The sequence below is a fragment of the Homo sapiens genome, chromosome 2, assembly GCF_000001405.40.
Source record: "Homo sapiens chromosome 2, GRCh38.p14 Primary Assembly".
NCBI classification, from domain to species: domain Eukaryota; kingdom Metazoa; phylum Chordata; class Mammalia; order Primates; family Hominidae; genus Homo; species Homo sapiens.
The window spans coordinates 203,388,384-203,409,415 of record NC_000002.12 but is presented as its reverse complement, the minus strand read 5'-3'; the positions used below and the strand labels follow the sequence as shown (position 1 = coordinate 203,409,415).

At 37.5% G+C, this 21,032-nt stretch overlaps 1 protein-coding gene across 123 annotated transcripts in view; it reads right to left on the bottom strand.

Moving 5' to 3' along the window:
- ABI2 (abl interactor 2) overlaps positions 1-21,032 on the bottom strand; it is a 103,776-nt gene that overhangs the window by 22,754 nt on the left and 59,990 nt on the right. For 29 of the 123 annotated variants that reach the window (NR_164705.1, NR_164715.1, NR_164717.1 and 26 more), the window contains 4 exons: positions 18,273-18,370; positions 14,570-14,716; positions 13,636-13,760; positions 6,682-6,840 (listed from right to left, as the gene is read on the bottom strand). Coding sequence is in view for 108 of the 123 variants with exons in the window: in NM_001375666.1 (NP_001362595.1) it covers positions 6,682-6,840; positions 13,636-13,760; positions 14,570-14,716; positions 18,273-18,370 (529 nt within the window). In the remaining 15 variants the exon portion in view is untranslated. Of the gene's footprint in view, positions 1-1,413; positions 1,533-6,054; positions 6,100-6,681; positions 6,841-12,448; positions 12,632-13,635; positions 13,761-14,569; positions 14,717-18,272; positions 18,371-21,032 lie in introns of all 123 variants that reach the window. The other 94 variants (NR_164707.1, NM_001375663.1, NM_001375679.1 and 91 more) reach the window with 13 other exon arrangements.

Sequence of the window (21,032 nt, the reverse complement as noted above, 5' to 3'; positions counted from 1 at the left end):
ATGGATAGATGCAGGGAGGACATATAAATGCACAGACAAGAGTTAAGCAGATAATCTTGAATATCTAGATGCAAAGAACAGAGCAGTATAACCCTAGAAATTGGTACCTTTCTTAAAAAGACACCTTTGGTTAGGTTTTTCCCTAAAGTCATAATTCTTGGCAGTAAATCCTTGACTTGCGTGTCTGCTTCCCACTCAGAGGCTTACAACAACTGTTGATATGTTCATAATACTGTTTCCAAGGGTAAGCAGAAGACAGTGAAAAGAGAAGGTAGTTGGGCCGGGCGCGGTGGCTCACGCCTGTAATCCCAGCACTTTGGGAGGCCGAGGCGGGTGGATCATGAGGTCAGGAGATCGAGACCATCCTGGCTAACAAGGTGAAACCCCGTCTCTACTAAGAATACAAAAAATTAGCCGGGCGCGGTGGCGGGCGCCTGTAGTCCCAGCTACTCGGGAGGCTGAGGCAGGAGAATGGCGTGAACCCGGGAAGCGGAGCTTGCAGTGAGCCGAGATTGCGCCACTGCAGTCCGCAGTCCGACCTGGGCGACAGAGCGAGACTCCGTCTCAAAAAAAAAAAAAAAAGAAAGGAGAAGGTAGCATAGACAAAAAAGATAAAACTGAGAAACAGTAGCAGGCAGCAACTGGCACTAGAAGAGTAGAGACAAGGCACATGTTCACATCCAAGATGAAATGCTCCTCTTCTGTTGGCATGTAACCTAACCTTCCGTGTAACAGAAAAGTGGGAAATTTCCCACTTCAGTCACTGTTTCTCTACCAAATATAAAAAATGACCTTTTGGTACTCAGCTAAAAAAGAATGATTAGGTGCTTAACCTACAGCAGTCTTTTTGTGGGTAGACTGAGGTTTTTTTTTTTAAGATGAATATGCTTATTTCTTTTCTACTTCTGAAAGTGAAAATCTGAAGCCATAGTGGTTTTAAGAAGTACACCAGCAGCCAGGCACGGTGGCTCATGCCTGTAATCCCATCACTTTGGAAGGCCGAGGGGGGCGCATCACCTGAGGTCAGGAGTTCAAGACCAGCCTGGCCAACATGGTGAAACCCCATCTCTACTAAAAATACAAAAATTAGCCAGGTGTGGTAGCAGGTGCCTGTAACCCCAGCTACTCGGGAGGCTGAACCAGGAGAATCGCTTGAACCCAGGAGGTAGAGGCTGCAGTGAGCCGAGATCATGCCATTGCACTCCAGCCTGGGCAACAAGAGCAAAACTCCATCTCAAAAAAAAAAAAAAGTCCACCAGCAGCCAGGGAAAGATCAATCGCAGTTCTTCCTTAAAAGAATGACTTGGTAACAAGTTAGACTTTTTTCAAAGCTAGTCTAAGGCATGTTCAAAAATTCAGTTCCGTCTGGGGTTACAAAGGTCATCCCAAATTCTACTTTTCTCCAGGACAAACCTTTAATAAGGTGGTCGAAATTAATTCAGATACCACATCATTTTCTTTTCGGACCTTGTAAGATTTCATCTGACAAGAACGTCTGTGAGCCAGAATATACTGTCTTTCTTGGAGTTGAGCTGAAAACAAACCATTTTAAGTGAATTTAAGCAGAATTTTGAGGAAAGAATTGTTGCAATATTCAGTTCTAATCCTAGTCATTTTGTGAACAGGCAAAGAAGAGCAGGAAGCAAACTTGTTTTCATTTCATTTAGCTAAAATGATTCCTCATAAGACAAGACTCTTTCCCAATAACCACCAAAAGATCTCCAAACTTAGATTGTTATGTAATTTTCACAATATACAAGAATGTTTAGATATAAACAGTAAAAGGCTTTCCAAGCAATCCAAACCTAAATGATGAATCTGTGCTGATGAAATGTACAGACTTTCCAAGTACAACCTTCCTGGTTATTTATAAAGTCCTCTGAAGCATCAATGAAGCTTGTATTTTAGATGTCCAATTCAAAAAGTTTGGAAAAATAAAATTAAGCTTTTACATCTTATTTTTACAGCTTTATAAATACTCTGAGAATATTAGACAAAATAAGCGCTCTAAAAACTACTTCTAAAGTCATTACTGAACATCACATTTAGAGGAGATATATATATTATATAGCCCATGCGAGTTGAGATGCTTATGTTTTTTTCCCAGTGAAGGAAATAAACAATGTGTAAGTGTAGTATTTTCTAAACATGAATACCAACTTAGAACAAAAGGTATGTAAAAGTGAATTCAGGCTGGATGCGGTGGCTCACACCTGTAATCCCAGCACTTTGGGAGGCCAAAGCAGTAACAAAATGACTAGGATTAGAACTGAATATTGCAACAATTCTTTGCTCAAAATTCTGCTTAAATTCTCTTAGAATGGTTTGTTTTCAGCTCAACTCCAAGAAAGACAGTATATTCTGGCTCACAGACATTCTAGTCAGATGAGATCTTACATGGTCCAAAAAGAAAAGGATGTGGTATCTGAATTAATTTCGACCACCTTGTTAAAGGTTTGCCGTGGAGAAAAGTAGAATTTGGGATGACCTTTGTTACGCCAGATGGAACTGGATCACTTGAGGTCAGGAGTCGGAGATCAGCCTGGCCAACCCGGTGAAAGCTTGTCTCTATTAAAGAAAAAAAAAGAGCCAGGCGTGGTGGCACACACCTGTAGTTCCAACTACTCGGGAGGCTGAGGCAGGAGAATCGCTTGAACCCAGGAGGCAGAGGTTGCAGTGAGCCAAGATTGTGCCACTGCACTCCAGCCTGGACAACAAAGCAAGACTTTGGGGAGAAAAAAAAATCTTCCTGCTCCTGCTCTTTATTTATACTTTGCTAAAGCCCCAACACATCAGTATTCTTCTAGACGTTTTAGACATTTATGGTGATGCTGTAACTTCACAAATCATTTAGAGAATATGTGAAATGGCTTTTTATTTTGGAACAGCACCATCCCAACATTGTTTCCTATTTTTTTAGTCGCTTTTAAAACCATTCAGGGGTTACTAAGCCTGACACTTTCTCTTTGTGAAACAGCATACCCATTCAGAAACTCCTATATCTCATAGAACTATATATAGACACATCTCTTGGAACCAACATTCACTTTATGAACTAGATTTTTTCAAAAGCTTTTAAGAAAATATGAGCAGTAAAATACAGGCTACTTTCTCCTAAAGTCTTCAATACTTACATGCTACATTACTGATTCCTTAACAAACAAGGCTTATGTAAGTATATGTACACATACTCACATGTAGATATATGTATATTCTTCTTGACCACCAAGGTGTTTCATATTTACATTTAAAGTAGAGACTGTTAACTCATAATTAGCCCTATGTGTTTCTATGACCCCCTCCTTACCACTGGCAAGATTAATGATAAATTGGTATTCCTATTTCATTGGCTGGATTAGATTAAGAAATAATGAGAACCAAAGGGATTTCAGTTATGCCCTGATCAAAGGGTTCCTTTCCTTTCAATAACTTGTTTCTGAAATAATCTCATGAAAAAAACAATTATTGTGCTCCTAAGACTTGGCACTAGACACTGGGTGTTCCATATTTTAACTCCTATGTTATAATTGCCCTTTTTCAAACTCAGATCAAATTGTACATTAACAAATATAGTAACAGCACTGCTAGATTTACACCTCACAGAACCCCACTGAATTTATATTCACATGAAACCTTCCAAAGATTGTCAGCTCACTTCCTCAGAAGCATGCAACCACAGCAAGACTCCAATTACCCCCCCAAAAAAAAAGCTCATAAAACACACACTTCAGATCATTTTTGTTAAATCAGAGAATTAGTTACTTGAGAAAGCACAACAAATATTCTCATTGTAAATATGAAAAAAATAGGGACAATTGCAGGGCTACTGGGAGTAATACAGGAGACTTACATAATTTTTTTTTTTTGAGACAGGGTCTCACTCTGTTGCCCAGGCTGGAGTACAGTGGCACAATCTCGGCTCACTGAAACTTCCATCTCCTAGGTTCAACCAATCGTTCTGCCTCAGCCTCCTGAGGAGCTGGGACTGCAGGCACCTGCCACAGTGCTTGACTCATAAATAATATTCTAATGAATATAAAATAAAAGTACATCTAACAGCCTTAGAACACTGATTCACAAATCATTAAGTCTTGCAAAAAGAGCTTTTCCAAGAAAATGGTTTAGTTAAAAAAAAATTAGTTTACAAAAAGTACTCTGATTAACCAACTAACAATGCTGTGGCCACCCACTTTAAACAGTTATCAAATCCCTGGAGATGAAAGGCAGAACTTAATAGAGCAGAGTACAGAAAAACAAAAAAGCACAACTAAATTGACTCACACATTACACAGAAAGCCTAACAATCCCAATTCACCTTACTTCCATGAGTGAGAAAAATACTTTTCATTAAAATCATTCCATAAAGTGGGGATCTTTTTACTTTAACATATACTTTCAAGCATTTGAAAATCAGATTTACAAAGAAACTATTGAAGTATGTATTATAAAATGCATTTAAATATGTGCTTAAACAGCCTTCAAATAAATTCTACCTACAGAGTTCTCATAGGACTATTTTGGAGCATACACGAACAAAGCATGAAATATCCCTGTATAGGCCGGGTGCGGTGGCTCACACCTGTAATCTGAGCACTTTGGGAGGCCAAGGCAAGTGGATGACTTGAGGTCAGGAGTTCAAGACCAGCTTGGCCGATATGGTGAAACCCTGTCTCTACTAAAAATACAAAAATTAGCTGGGTGTAGTGGCAGGTGCCTGTAATCCCTGCTACTTGGGAGGCTGAGGCAGGAGAATCGCTTGAACCCGGGAGGTAGAGGTTGCAGTGAGCCGAGATTGTACCACTGCACTCCAGCCTGGGTGACAGAGCAAGACTTTGTCTCAAAACAAAACAAAACAAAAATTAGCCAGGCGTGGTGGCAGGTACCTGTAATCCCGTGCTCCTGAACAAATGTGAGTTTGAAAACATGGTTTAAAAGGCAAATGTATAAAAAGGGCAGTTTTGTCAAAATTTAAGTTCAGAATGATTTAAAAAGAATGGCATAGCCAAAAACACTAAACGTGATAAAAGATAGAAGGGAAGTATATATCAATTAAGGCAGTTGGTATTCACACTATGGTTTGCACTGGATGGACTACAGATACAGCACTTAATTTACGAGAGGGACCCAGAACAGTGAAGGGATTTGGAAAAATGAACAAGGGATTCATTTGGCATTCAACAAACAGTTCCTGAGCAATATTCCAGGATGTAACTGTATAAAAGACTGACAAGGTCTCAGGCTTTCATGCACTTTATATCACATCTTTTCATCCGCCTTCCCCTCCAAAAAAGAGAAGACTTGGGAGGATAAGAGAAAAATTTTTTAAATATGTAGGTAGGACAATAGAAAGAACATGGAACTTAGGCCAGGCACGGTGACTCACGCCTGTAATCCCAGCACTTTGGGAGGCTGAGGTGGGTGAATCACTTAAGGTCAGGAGTTTAAGACCAGCCTGGCCAACATAGTGAAACCCTGTCTCTACAATAAAATACAAATATTAGCTGGGTGTGGTCGTGGGTGCCTGTAATCCCAGCTACTCAGGAGGCTGAGGCAGGAGAATCTCTTGAACCCAGGAGGCAGGCATTGCAGTGATCAGAGATCACACCACTGCACTCCATCCTGGGCAACAGAGCGAGACTCCATCTCAATTTAAAAAAAAAAAAAAAAAAAAAACAGAAAGAAAGAACATGGAACTTAGAGTCAGAAAACCTAAGTTCAAATCCTAACCTGACCATCACCTCAGCCTCATTTTCCTTACCTATAAGATATAAGAAAATGATCACCAATCTTATTTTGTACGTGATTCTAAGAATCAAATGAGATAATATAAAAACATTATTTAAATTAAGTGTTTATGTTGGAGGATCAAATTTCTTCTGCAAGACTCTTTCAAAGAATATCACTATAGGTCACAGCCACAGAGACAAACTGCAGCTCCATAAAATTCAAGGCTTATCAAAAATGGAATGAGTTGAACCCAGTATGAGAGGTGTTCACACATAGGCTTACTGGCTTCCTGGCAAAAATACAGAAAAAAGCAGTAAGTTGACATACCATGTCCACAATAGCCATGGTGTCTAATATTTGTTCTTGCCCTCTCTGGGGAGTAAACAAAATAATAATTATTAAATATGTTCCAGATTAGTTATTCTGCATGCATGATACAACCGATTATTTAGTGTAATTATTATATCTGATTCAATTTACCCAATTCCTAGTTTTTCCACCATGGGTTTGGTATGAGAATTGTATAAGCTAGTATAATTCCCTAGCACAAAGTAGCTTCAAAAATGTTCTCTTTTCCTTTGCCACTTCTAAATTCTGTTCATGTGCACACAACTTTCATTATTTGTTATTTAAAAGTAAGGATGTCTGATTAAATAAAAAGGAAATACCATTCACCACAATGTTATTTTAAAAAGCAAATAACCACTAAAATATTCAAAAAAATTCTGCTCAGAAAAACTAAGTTGTATGACTTTACGTGGAAATCACATACTGATTTTTTTTTAAAGAATTGAAAGATACAGTATTAACAACCTACAATTCATTCATTCTCCCATTCATTCAACAAATGGTGCTAACCACCTACCATGCACTATTTGTAATTAAGGGTTTTTTGTAGTTGAAGGTTTTTAATTAAATACATTCTATAGAATGCAAAAAAACAAAAAAACTAACCTGGATTCTGGCTATAAAAAGGTCCTCCATTCATCTGATTCTGAAGGCTTGTTTGTGAAGTAATGGAAGGAGGGCGTCTATAGGGCAACGAGCCCCCTATTGTTGGGGGAGTATGGCGAGAGGCAGGCCTATTCATGCTGTAGAACTGTACAGGATGACCTGAAAAAGAGATAGAACATACATATGTCATTAAAAGAAAATTATCTCAGATCATTAAATACTTTATGTACAATGCCTAAATCTTAAGAATTAAAAATAACAGCTAGTTTAACTGGTATCTGAAATATACAATGCAAGGTGAGTTATTGTTCGCTGATATTATATCAGAGTACAAAAGCAGAAAAGCAAACAAAAATATGATTAAGTTTGGAAAGTTATGTCTAAATAGTTTACTAATTAGGGCCGGGTGCAGTGACTCATGCCTGTAATCCCAGCACTTTGGGAGGCCAAGGCAGGCAGATCACTTGAGGTCAGGAGTTTCAGACCAGCCTGGCCAACGTGGTGAAACCCCGTTTCAACTAAAAACACAAAAATTAGCCAGGTATGGTGGCGTGCGCCTGTAATTCCAGCTACTCGGGAGGCTGAGGCGTAAGAATCACTTGAACTCAGGAGGCAGAGGTTGTAGTGAGCCAAGATTGCACCACTGCACTCCAGCCTGGGTGACAGAGTGAGACTCTGTCTCAAAATAAATAAATAGTTTGCTACTTAACACTATTATTTCACTAAATTAAAAATCTGATGGGGTTTCAAAATCATCACAATTAATTAAAATTTATCTACTCCACCCCCAAAATACAGCCACTGAACACTGAAAACTAAAATCGACAAGAATGATGTTTGGGAAAGCAAGAGAAAAAATGTTTGACACACAGTCTTATTCCAAAATAATAAATAATAATAAACGTAAGGTAGCAAAAAAGTATGGTTAAAGGAAAATGAAGTATTTCAACAAAAGGTTAAATGACGTAATTCCAAATCAAACATTTCTTTCTTTTAATCAAAAAAATCTACCACGAAAGCTACATTACTTTGTCTTAAAATTAAAATCTAAAAAATTTACAATCATGAAAAAAATTAAGATATAAAAAGAGGGTCAAAATATATCTTATTTTTAATATCATCCCTAAGTCCATATATAGTTATCATCAATTTCACTGTATTTTGCTCTCTTGAGAGTTCTTCCACAGCTAATGTCAACTGGAGACATGATTCCATAATCCATCAGTTTCCTAATAATATAATCCACTCCCTAAACTTTACCTTGACTGCACTCCCACCTACATTAAGCTGAGAACTTTTTCTTACAGACAGAGCACCACAGCACCCATGAGAGAGCACAATAGCAGACAAGGGAGAAGGGGAGGGCAAGAGAGAAGAGGAGGCGGAGAAATAAGCAGGTGGAGAAGAAAGCGGAAAGGGGACAGGAAGGTAGAGGAGGAGGAGATGAAGGTGGAGGAGGGCAAGAGGATAGCAGAGGGGAAAGGAAAGGAGAAAGAGAAAGGGAGAAAAGGAGGAGATAAGTGAAAAGGAAAAAAAAAACACTTTTGCTAAACCCAACAGGAAGCCAGAGGGCAAAAGAATCCACTGAAACATTTCATGGAGGTCAGCCTACTGGAGAAGAGGGGAGAGTAGAGGAGGGGGGACTGGAGGAACAGATGATACCTGGCACACTCATCTATCCATTTGTGCCTAAGGTTATCCTGAAATTTTTTAAATTCTAAAATAAACTACTTGAAACACAGTGAGATAAGACTTATGTAATATGGAATTTGATGAATGCTTGATTTGTTGAAATCTTCATGATCAAACACTGCAGTCATATCCTCTTCCAGGCTTCATATTTCTCAGCTGAGTCTTACCATCTTTATTCTACCTTAATATGAGACTATCTTCTTGGTAATTTTAATTAAAAGTATTAGAGGAAAACAACACTTTGACAATTTTTCATCTTGTCTATGATTATAAAATGGTTTTATATGACTAAAATTGTTCTACAGGAGCTGAAAGTTTACCAAGCTTAGATTCATATGGAGTCATATAAGGATTATAAGAGCACTCAAGGCTTGTTATAACATTTAAACATCTTACATGTGTATCAAAAACTTAAGCACTCAAGCTTAAACATAATCCACTATCAACTGAGAAGCCTCTGTAACCATGATAAAAATGAAAACATATAAACTATGATTTAAAAGGCATATTTAGTTATTTGAACCACTGAATACAATTAGCATTTCAGTAATTAATCTATAGCAAACTAATACAAACCTACGATCAAGTTAAAAACATCTGGATTAACATCATTATGAATTTTATATAGTTAGATCTAGTCTAAAACCTCACATGGGCTGGGCATGGTGGCTCAGGCCTTTAATCACAGTACTATGGGAGGTGGAGGCGGGTGGATCATTTCAGATCAGGAGTTCAAGACCAGCCTGACCAACACGGTGAAACTTTGTCTCCATTAAAAATACAAAAAATTAGCTGGGTGTGGTGGCTCACACTTGTAATCCCAGCTCCTCAGGAGGCTACGGCAGGAGAATCACTTGAATCCAGGCAGCGGAGATTGCAGTGGGCCGAGATTGCCACTGTATTCCAGCCTGGGTGACAGAGTGAGACTCTGTCTCAAAAAAAAAAAAAAAAAAAAAAAAAAAAGACACTATTCACACTATTAATGAGTCGATTTACCATTTGGGGTTTTAAAAATATATATACCTAATTATCATAAACCTAGCGATAAAACCTGAAACTAAAAACTTCTAGAAGAAAACACAGAACAAAATCTTTATGACTTCAGGTAAAGAGTTCTTAGATATGCCATCAAAGCACGATTCATTTAAAAAAATTTTGAAAAATAACACTTAATAAAAATGAAGAATTTCTGCTATTTGAAATACAACATCAAAAAAATAAATGAACAGGCTGGACCCAGTGGCTCACGCCTGTAATCCCAGCACTTTGGGAGGCTGAGGCGGGCGGATCACCTGAGGTCAGGAGTTCAAGACCAACCTGGCCAACGTGGTGAAACCCCGTCTCTACTAAAAATACAAAAATTAGCTGGGCATGGTGGTGGGTGCCTGTAATCCCAGCTATTTGGGAGGCTGGGCAGGAGAATCGCTTGAACCCGCGAGGCGGAGATTGCAGTGAGCTGAGATCCTGCCATTGCACTCCAGCCTGGACACCAAGAGTGAAACTCTGTCCGCCCGCCCCTCCTCCCCCCGCCAAAAAAATAGAAAATAAGCAAACGAATCACAAAATGGAAGAAAATATTTGTAACTCATAATCTATAAAGGACATATATTTAGAATATAAAAGAACTCAATGATAAGGAAAAAAACCCTATTAAAAAGGTGAGAAGGAACAAAACATTTGAACAGATACTTCACCAAAGAGGATATACACATGGCAAATAAGCACATGAAAAAAATGTTCAATATCATTAGTCATTAAGAAAATGCAAATCCAAACCACACATGTAATGAGAAACCATTACACATGTATTGGAATGGCTAAAGCTAAAAAAGGCAACACCAAGGGCTGACAAGGATGCAACTGGAAACTCACACATTGCTGCTGGGAGTGTAAAATTATACAGCCATTTTGGAAAACAACTTGGCAGTTTCTTATGACGTTAAAAATTTACTTACAATATAACCCAGCAATTCTATTCCCTAGGTATTTACCTGATATAAAAACCCATGTGCACAAAAAAAACCCTGTATGTACATGTTTATAGCAACTTTATTCATAAGCACTCAAAACTAGAAAAATCTAAATGTCCTCTGAGAAAGGGATAAACAAATTGTGGTACATCCCCATACAATACAACACTACTAAGCAATAAAATGTAATGAAATACTTAAACATGCAACAACATGGGTAATTCTCAAATGCATCTGGCCAAAAAAAACAGATCAAAAAAGCTACATACTATATGCTTTCATTTATGTTATACTTAAAAAGGCACAACTTTAGAGAAAAAAAACACATCAAGGGCTTACCAGGAGCTGGGAGTGGAAGGGAAGGACTGACTATAAAGGGGGCATGGAGGAAATTTTTGCGATGATAGGACTGTTCTGTAACTTGATTGTGGTGGCAATTACATGTCAGTACACCTTTGCCAAAACTCACAAACATATATGGTATAAAGGGTGAATTTTACTGTACATAAGTTATACCTTGGTAAAAAGAAAAACAATTGCTTGGTAACTCAGGTACTGTATAAAACAGACTATCCTGATATAAATTATTAATAAGACATTTACCTTGCTTTTTGTTTTAAAAACCACAGTTAATTATCCCCTCACATAACAAATGTTTATTTAGTGAACACTGAGCCAGGCACCTGTTATTCAATTAATATTTAATTACTAAAACATAGACTCTCAGTTGGGGGTGATTTGTCCTTTCTGATGCATTCTTTATCAAAGCAGGAGCATAACGAGATTCCTATATTTAACTAGTTAGTTTGGCCTAACAGTTGTATCTGGATCAAAAAACACCCCATGTTTACATTTATCTACTGCAGAAAGCTTTTCTTTAAAAGTCATATAGAAGGAATCCCACAAGACATCACCCAAAATCCATTTTGGCTAAAAGTGTCTTTTAAAACATGTAAAGATCTTATATATGTTTAACATGTATAACAGCAAAGCTGAATATAAATGCCATGAAGTTCTTCACTGGCAAGTGGAACACTACGGTGATTGATATGCTTTGAATCTGTGTCCCTGCCCAAATCTCATGTTGAATTGTAATCCCCAATGTTGGAGGTGGGGCCTAGGGGGAGGTGACTGGATCACAAGGGCGGTTTCTCATGGTTTAACACCATCCCCCTTGGAGCTGTTCTTGCAATAATGAGATCTGGTTGTTTAAAAGTGTGTAGCACCTCCCGCCTTGTCCTCTTGCTCCTACTCTGGCCACGTGACCAGTGTGCTTCCCCTCTGCCTTAGGCCATGAGTGTAAGTTTCCTGAGGCCTCCCCAGAAGCCAAGCAGATGCCACTATCATGCTTCCTGTACAGCCTGAAGAACCGTTAGCCAATTAAACCTCTTTTCTGCATAAATTACCCAGTCTCAGGTATTTATAGCAATGTGAGAACAGACTAATACAGTGATATATGTCCAAACACATACATTTTATAGCAGACAAGAACCTGTTACTAGCCAGCATCATTAACTCTACAAATATATTTCGTAGCAATTGAGTCTATCTCCTCCCCAATCAAAACAGATTTTAGATTGCAATTTTAAAACACCAGCCAACTTAAATAAACCTGAAATTCTTTAAAAGTCCATTGTCTATGAGTTTCCAATGCTGCTATAATAAGCAACAGATTCTGTTAAAAATAGACTTACAGAGGCTTTCCATTTGTTGTATCAAATATTTCCTATAAAATATACCTTAGAATTATTGTAATAGACTTTTGTTAATCACTTAACCTATAATGAAAATATTTCTAATGATAATTTCCAAAAACTGTATAGAAGGTAGCTCCATATTAAACTTAAAAATCTCTAATAAATGAAATTCAAGCAATAAAAAAACACAAATTTATGCTACCCTATTGGAAAAATGTATGAGAAACTTTACCTCAATTTTCTCAGGAAATGCTAATCTTTGGTCACATACTTTCTGGTTAGTACATTATTCTTATTTTTTTTTAATACGAAGTACAACAAAACCAAAAACAAACAAAAATCAGAGGTGCAAGTAAGAGAATAGCCAGATGACTGCATCTGCCTGCCAATGAATAAGCAAATACTTACCTGTAGGGGGAGTGGAAGAAACAACAGGGGGAGTTGGAGAAGTGAAGCCATCAGCAAGGGTCTGGGCACCCCCAGCAGCAGCGTCTGGGGCAGTGGAGGAAGGGACAGTAGCAGGAACAAGAGGAGCAGGGGCAGATGCAGAAGTAGCAGGAAGGGGAGGAGTGCCAGCAGAGCCAGCAGGGGCTGAGGGGAAAGAGGAGTAAGAGGCAGCATTAATGAGGCAATCACATGAGGCAGGATTAGAAAAGGTATTAGAGTATTTAATGTTAGATATTCAGTGCTTAACACTAACCAAAAGAACAGAGTTGAAAAAAAGAATAAAACTTATGCTAAAGGATTACTATATAAGCAGCAAATAATTCAAGATGCTCAGGGTAATGTGCAGATTTTTTCAATTCATTAAAAACAAACATTCCTTTTCAATTGAAAGCACTACTCCAGAAGAAAAGTGTTCCCTTCGTATTGTTATTTTTAGCATAACATTCTGTATATAGTATACAAAACTAACATAATACACTAAAAAACAACAGTTTTCCATTTTGAATTACACAAATCAGAAAATAGACATATTCCATATTATCAGATTAAAAATTTTTTTTAAAACACAAATCTTTATGATTTTTAAAAGGCATTATCTACTTGTTACTATAAGTAAATTAAGTATGTAACATTCTATTAATGTATTTTGTGTCACGTTTTCAAAACTAAGTTTTAAGTGTGTATCTCCTCGAATCAAATAAGCAGATTTTTCTGTTTCAGAGAAAAGAGGGTAGTATTTTCAGAGACTACTAAATTCCAATACAGCCACTAAATTTAACTGTCAAAACTACTTTTTATATCTGCCCAATCCTTTGTTACTAATATGGTTCTCACACTGAGTTCCCACTGTGTCCAAAGACTGCACTGTCATAACACTAGCTGGAATTAAACTTGTACTCATAACAAAGTGTGATCTGAAACCTCAAAGCAGCAACTGAGCCACATCACCAAAGGCATAAAGAGAAGTGCAAAGTGAGCAAACACTTACAAATCACTTGCTTACAAATAACAAATATATAGACTTCCCAATATTTATGATTCCTAAAGAAAAAAAATCCTGATTACGAAGAAAGCCCACCATAATTAAATCACAAATTGAATCAAATTCAGAAAGGAAAAGTGAAGACGAGGCACCATGAATGTTTTACCTGGAAAGACACTGGGAGGAGATGGAGTAGGAACAGCAATAGGAACCCCCACACTACCACTTCCACTGTTCTCTCGACTGCTGCTCCGACTACTTGGGTGGCTCCCTCCACTACTCCCACTGCTGCTAAAGAAATAAGAGCCACCAAAACATGAGTATTTATAAACAGTAAGAGATCATCAGCACTTCCCGACATTTTCTGAGATGAATGTAGCTACAATAAAGGTAATTCAAAAGCGTACCACTTCAAAATAAAATTTCCTTGAGCTCCAAGTCAGTGACAGGTTAAAAAAAAATGTGTGTGTGTGTGTGTGTGTGTGTGTGTGTGTGTGTATATATATATATATATTTACTTATTAATAAAGTTGAGGGGAAAACTGAGTTCAATAAGCTTGTTTTGACCACATTTTGAAAAAATTATCCATAAATACAAGTGATAAATGTTGAGGTTTAACACATTAAAACAATAAATATTGCCTTTTTATATTCCAGTTTAATGCCTATCTGAAGAAACTTCTTTTATAATAAAACAAAAACATTTTCCTAAACAGATTTGAGTAATTTTAATTAATAATCATACTCTGATGTACTATCCCATATTAATGTTTTATTATGTATAGTTTTTCATCTGTAAAGTTCCACCAAAAAACAACCTGACATTTCCCACATTTGGTCCATAATTTTTTTTCCAGATCAACTGAACTCTTAAAACTTGGAGAGAAGTCTGCACTTTGAGATGTCTGTTCTTTATCAACTTCCTGACTGCTCAAAGTTGAATCAGAACATGAGGAGAGAGAGGTGAAATCAGATGAGGTTTGGGAGAATAGAGTGAGGAAAAGAACTTAGTGCTTGGAAAATGAGAGATTTACCTGAAGTAATCTGAACAGATTATGGTACTATGACCATCACATTTTGCACTGAGGTAGAGAAAATACCTGTAAGTTCGATTTCTTTGATTCACAGAAGCTGTCCTCACAGGGCTCTGCTGCGAGGGAGCCATATTACGGGTTGGGCTAGGTACGTAATCATTTGGTACCACTGGAGGACGCACTGGCTCCAGTGTGCGATAGGGGGAGTGCCGCCTACAAAAAGAAGAGCGTATGTATTGTATGATTAAGCAAGTTTCGGCACAATAAATTCAAAGAGTTGCCAGCAGTTGAGATACAATTTGTAATCAGAGATAGGAAATGTGTTTTAACATAACCCAGCTACCAATTTCAGTCTTTACTAATGTATCACTTCTCCACCATTAGGGTTTTGGTGAATATTGTTATTTTTCAGTCTCCAACCTCATTTCCCTGTGCTAATGCAATTTTGTTCATTTATTCTCAAAGAGCACAAAGGTTCTCTACCATTTAAGCCAATGTTTCCCAGACCCTACCTCTTCTTAGAAGAGTTGGAATTCTTTTAGTATCATATTAAAGTCTCCCAACTGTACTTCATGAATGCACTAATTATTCTCCTCTCCCTTCTCTCCCTAACCAAAGATATTCAAAGACAGGAACTACAAATCTAGATTTAGGATCTATAACCCCCACACTGATGATCAATACTAGCCATAACAACTCATTTCCCTTTCTATATACCAAATATACAGAAATTAAAGTATATCTATATACAAAAATACACACTTTAATCTCATCTTCCGTTCTCACTTTCTCCCTCAACTTTCACCTTGATCTCTTTTCTCTTTCCTTCCTCAGAGTTCAACATTTACAAAGGTGGGGGGAAGGGAATGACCACCACAACAGCCTTTCTATATTATTTACTTTGAACTGTAAAATACAAACCAGACTGGATTTTATTAACACATATTTCCCGCCTTTTCCCAAAATTTCCTCGTAAAGAGGATGAAAAGAGGAAGAAAGGAAATATGACAGGGAACAGGATGCACATGGGGAAATTAGTGTTTATTAAATTAGTTCTCATTTCTACTTAGGTTTCCAAATTCTTTATGACAATGATAAACAGTCAATTGACATATTGTAGATGAGATCTTGGTCACTAAAAGAATAAGAACTGATCAAGATGTGAAAATTAAAAACCTTTCTTTTCCTGAAATGATGTTGCTCTACTGACTTATGTATGGATCCCAGAGTTCCTTTAACTATTGCTTTCCTGGGGCACTCAAGTTATGGATCACTGATTTTGCATGAGATCACTTTGCAATTTACTCTACTACCCTTCAAAGTCTCCTTACATAAATACATACATTGGTAATTAAAAATAAAATAAGGGACACTGGATGAAATCTTGGGTCAAAAGAGGAAAAAGTAATGTCAGGACTTTGGATTTAAAATACTAAAAGGAAGTTCCAGCATCTCTTAAATTATAATGCAAATATTAAACAATAAAATGGGAAACATTAATTTCTCCAACATCTAATTTTCAGACAATTTTTCCCAGGCAATAAAAATGTTTTGTTGCAGCCGGGTGCAGTGGCTCATGCCTGTAATCCCAGCACTTCGGGAGGCCGGGGCAGGCAGAGCACTTGAGCTCAGGAGTTTGAGACCAGCCTGGCCAACATGGCAAAACCCCATCTCTACTAAAAATACAAAAATTAGCTGGGAATGGTGGCGCACACCTGTAATCCCAGCTACTCAGGAGGCTGAAGCAGGAGAATCGCCTGGAGGCAAGAGAATTGCCTGGGCACAGAAGGCAGAGGTTGCAGTGAGCCAATATTGTACAACCGCACTCCAGTGAGACTCTGTCTCAAAAAAATAAGTTCTGTTGCATCCAAGTAAAAATTATTTGATAATTGAGAACTACAGAGTGAAGGCAATGACACAAATAAGATTTTTTTTAAAAAAAAAAGGAGCAAAGGAACAAAATGTGGTGACTAGGCAAAGACTATGTGGAAAAACAGGTTATAGCCATCAACTAGCAGAGTGGGCCTCAGCAACTCTGGTCCCCAAGGATCTTGCAGAACCATTGCTAATATACAAGGAAAACAAACATTGGTATATGAGCAAATCTTCAAAACTTGAAAACAACACAAAGTTTCATTCTTCTAGGGACTTTCTGGGGACTAAGTAGCTTATCTTACTAACAATCTTGACTTAAAACCCAACAAAATCCATAAGGCACTACACATGATATAAATGTAAATGTTTACATAGGAAAATAAAAACAGAGTTCCTCTTCATCTCTCTACCCCGACCCCTGGCACCATTATACACTACTATGCCATCTACATTCTACCTTGAAGTTTAAATCTTGTTTGATCCACTAGATTTTCTCTCTCTCTAAGCAGAATTATTTTGTCCACTCCTAATAAAGTCATCCTATTCCTGGTTGGAATTTATTTTTATTCTTTGGTCTCCTACTGTCCTATTATCTCTCTTCCAGCACTATCCTCCACTACATCTCAAATCATTTGGTCCTATCCTGATTCAGTGCTTGATTGGGTTTCGGTTTTTTGAAGGTTTGTGGTTGTTTTGTTGTTGTTGTTGTTGTTGTTGTTGTTGGTGGTGGTGGTGGTGGTGGTGGTGGTGGTGGTGGTGGTGATGGTGGTGGTGCTGAGGAAGCCAAAAACAAGACTGTCAATTAAAAACTTGTTTAGCATATATCATAAAGCCAATGGTTGTCAAAACATTTTGTCTTTGTCTTACACATTTTTAAAAATCCAATTTGTGGTACAGTGACCTTGAAAAATTTATAGAGGACAAATATTACCCCCCTTTTACAGATGAAAAAACTGAATTCTTGGCAGCTGACTATGTAGGAATTATAAAGTAACAGCACAGCTGAAACAGAATTTTAATCACCTGGCTTCTGGGCTATACTAATGCCAACCTAATCGTAAATCTCAATCACAGTAAGTCAAGTTTATAATACGATGCTCTAGAAGAAAAAAGTCAAGCTTTTCCATTAATTGGCCATTTTTGCCAAAAGTCAAATCTAGAGCCCAACTCTAGGACCAAAATAAAGCTCCATATTCTTCTTTTTTTTTTTTTTTTTTGAGACAGGGGCTCACTCTGCCACTGAGGCTGCAGCACAGTGGCATGATCACGGCTCACTGCAGCCTCAACCTCCTGGGCTCAGGTGATCCTCCTGTCTCAGCCTCGCAAGTAGCTGGGACTACAGGTGCATGCCACCACACCCAGCTTATTTTTGTATTTTTCGTAGAGACAGGGTTTCACCATGTTGCCCAGGCTGGTCTTAAACTCCTGGGCTCAAGTGATCTGCCCGCTTTGGTCTCTCAAAATCCCCACTTTGGGAATTACAGGCATGAGCCAACACACCTGGCCTGAAGCTCAATATTCTTATAAGTTTTATAGAATTTTATAATCTACACAGCTTAAAAAGGATAGTTGGAGTTAAACTGTAATATAAAAGACTATATACATTTTCTGAAAGAAAAGGAATTAAAATTAGACTGCAATTTACAATAAACTATGAACTTGGGCTAGGATTTTACCTCAAATTTAAAATTCACTAGAAAAACAATTTCTAAACAAATCTTTCTGAAGTATAAAAATGTGTTTCCCAAGAGAAGAGGAAGTTATACACACAAACAACAATCCTACAAAGAAAATGTTCTCTCTTCAAATATTCAAAAAATAATTTAAATATGTTGTGCTTCATTTTTAAACAATACTACATGAAATGGTTTTCAATTACTACTTATATACTCACCCAAGTGTCCCTTTCCCTGACATAGGGGGACTAGGGGGCTTCTGAGTTGGAGGTGTTGTACGCGGCAGCCCACCCATCTTCATGTTCTGGGTACTCACCTAAAAAATTTTAAGGAAAACTCAACTTGTATGCAGTGAAATAAAGTGGCACTTTTGGGAAATAATATGCTACACTACATAACAAAGGAGGGGAAGGTTTAAATAAAGGGAAAAAAATTAGAGGCCATGCATTTCATATGCAATCTCTACTCTACTATTACTCTACAGTTGTACTCAAAGGACTCTTCCTAACATGAGATTTTCAAATCATTATAAACTTGTATGCAAAGACTTTATTTGCCATTAGGCCATCACACCAACAGATCACTGGTTAGATTATTTGATATTACATTCAATTAAAATTAAATAGAATAACTACAAAATTTTAGTTTTAATAAAGAGTAACTCAATCAAAAACAATAATGCTTTTAAGCAATTCCTTATTTTTAGAGATAACTTTCTTTTTTTTTTTCTGAGACAGAGTCTCGCTTTGTTACCCAGGCTGGAGTGCAGGGGCACGATCTTGGCACACTGCAACCTCTGCCTCCCAGGTTCAAGCAATTCTCCTGCCTCAGCCTCCCAAGTAGCTGGTACTACAGGTGCATGCCACCACGACCAGCTAATTTTTTGTATTTTAGTAGAGACAGGGTTTCACCGTGTTGCCCAGGCTGATCTCAAACTCCTGAGCTTAGGCAATCCACCAGCCTCGGCCTCCCAAAGTGCTAGGATTACAGGCGTGAGCCACTGCACCCGGCCAGTAACTTTCTTTAGATAGTAAGCATATCATAAGCAAAATACATTTCCCAAATAAAAATATGCAACTATGCATATGATCCACTGTAACTAGAGAATATAAAGATAAATCATGTAATATATACAGAAAATTTTAGTTTTTTAAATTGTGGGCCAGCCTTATAAGTCAGATTTAGTTAGTATCTTCTTATGAGGGAACCACCTACCTGAAAACTGCTAGAAGTTCAAGCCATGTTCCTAAACATCTGAACCAGAAAGTTAGGGCTGAGGTATCCCATTCAACTGGGAGCAGCACAAGGGCCACAGGCAATGTCCTAGTTCCAATGGGAATTGGACCCACTTGGGCCCAAACTGAAGGTGAATTCAGGCATGAGAAAGATGTAACATAGTCCTAAGTCAGAGCTGGACCGTAACTCCACTCACTATTCTATCCCCAACTGAAAATGCAAGTGTAGGAAAGATGCATAATCTGGGAATAATGGAGGTCACCAAAGGAGTATGTTAGCACTTATACAGAAAGCCCTGGCTATCTCAAAAAGCTAAGAAAAATCACTCACAAGTGTAGTTCAAATGCAGTCTCAAGTTGAGACTACCAATGGGTTAATGTTCACCACACAGGTTCATATGTGATTCTATTTTAAGACCCTAATATTTTGAATTTCCATCTTCAAAACATATTTTGAAAAAGGACCTCAACTTTTCTAAAAATAATATGGCTAGAGTAGTCAAATTATACTTTCTAAATAAAATTGCAAGACATCATACCATTGAAATCAGAATACATTTATAACTGTAACTTCAGAATATAAATTTTAAGAAAGCAAATCATAATTGTATACAGAGAAGTGAGGCTATCAAAACCAACCCTGGCTTAAGTGGAATTTTTTAAAATCCTAAAATACTACCTGTTATTTGAATAGGCAAGAAATACTATCTCAAGAAACAAATTCTTCAAATGAATAGCCCAGTGAACAAGTTGTGTGTGATGTTAAAACAATCTTTAATGACAAATGATACCTTTGAAATGTCAATATTTTAAAGTGAAGCATTTATCTGTAATCCTTTTGTTGTTGCTTTTAAACAATAAAAACAAACATTATCAAGTAAGAGTAAAGATTAACTTATCCTTGCTCTCCCTCTCATTAATAAGCGGAGGGTATACTACTTGTATCTTAAAATGAAAATGCCAGAAAAAGTTTTTTTAAAAAAATCAATCCACATTTGGGGAAAATTTTAGGAGTAATATGACAAATAATGAATAGCTTTTAAAACTGCATATCTTAATTTCTGAAACCAGAAGATTTTTTTAAAGTGGTAACCAAAGTCCTTTAAGCTCAACCTTAAACAACATAAAACCCAAAGTTACTTTAAGTGATGAGGGAGAAGTGAACCAAACACTAAAACTACATCAATTTGCTGAGAAACAGGAAGGAAAAGGAGCAGGAATTTAAGAGAGAATTTTATTCTATACATGGGATAGCTAAAATATTTGAAAAGAGCTTTCCAGCTTATATTTGTTTTAAGTTTTGGTATGCAAGGTGTTTTTGTTTAAATTGCAGTATCTTCTGTAAGTCTTTGGACCTACCCGCCCCCCACCAAAAAAAATAGCATAAAATAAACAATCTATATATTAAAATCTGGTGGACATTTATTATTATTATTATTATTTTTTAAGACAGAGTCTCGCTCTGTCACCCAGGCTGGAGTGCAATGGCCTGATCTCGGCTCACTACAACCTCCACCTCCTGGGTTCAAGCAATTCTCCTGACTCAGCCTCCCGAGTAGCTGGGATTACAGGCGCACCACCACGCCCAGCTACTTTTTGTATTTTTAGTAGAGATGGGGTTTCGTCATGTTGGCCAGGCTAGTCTCGAACTCCTGACCTCAGGTGATCCACCCACCTTGGCCTCCCAAAGCGCTGGGATTACAGGCATGAGCCACCATGCCTGGCCAACATTTCTATGAATAT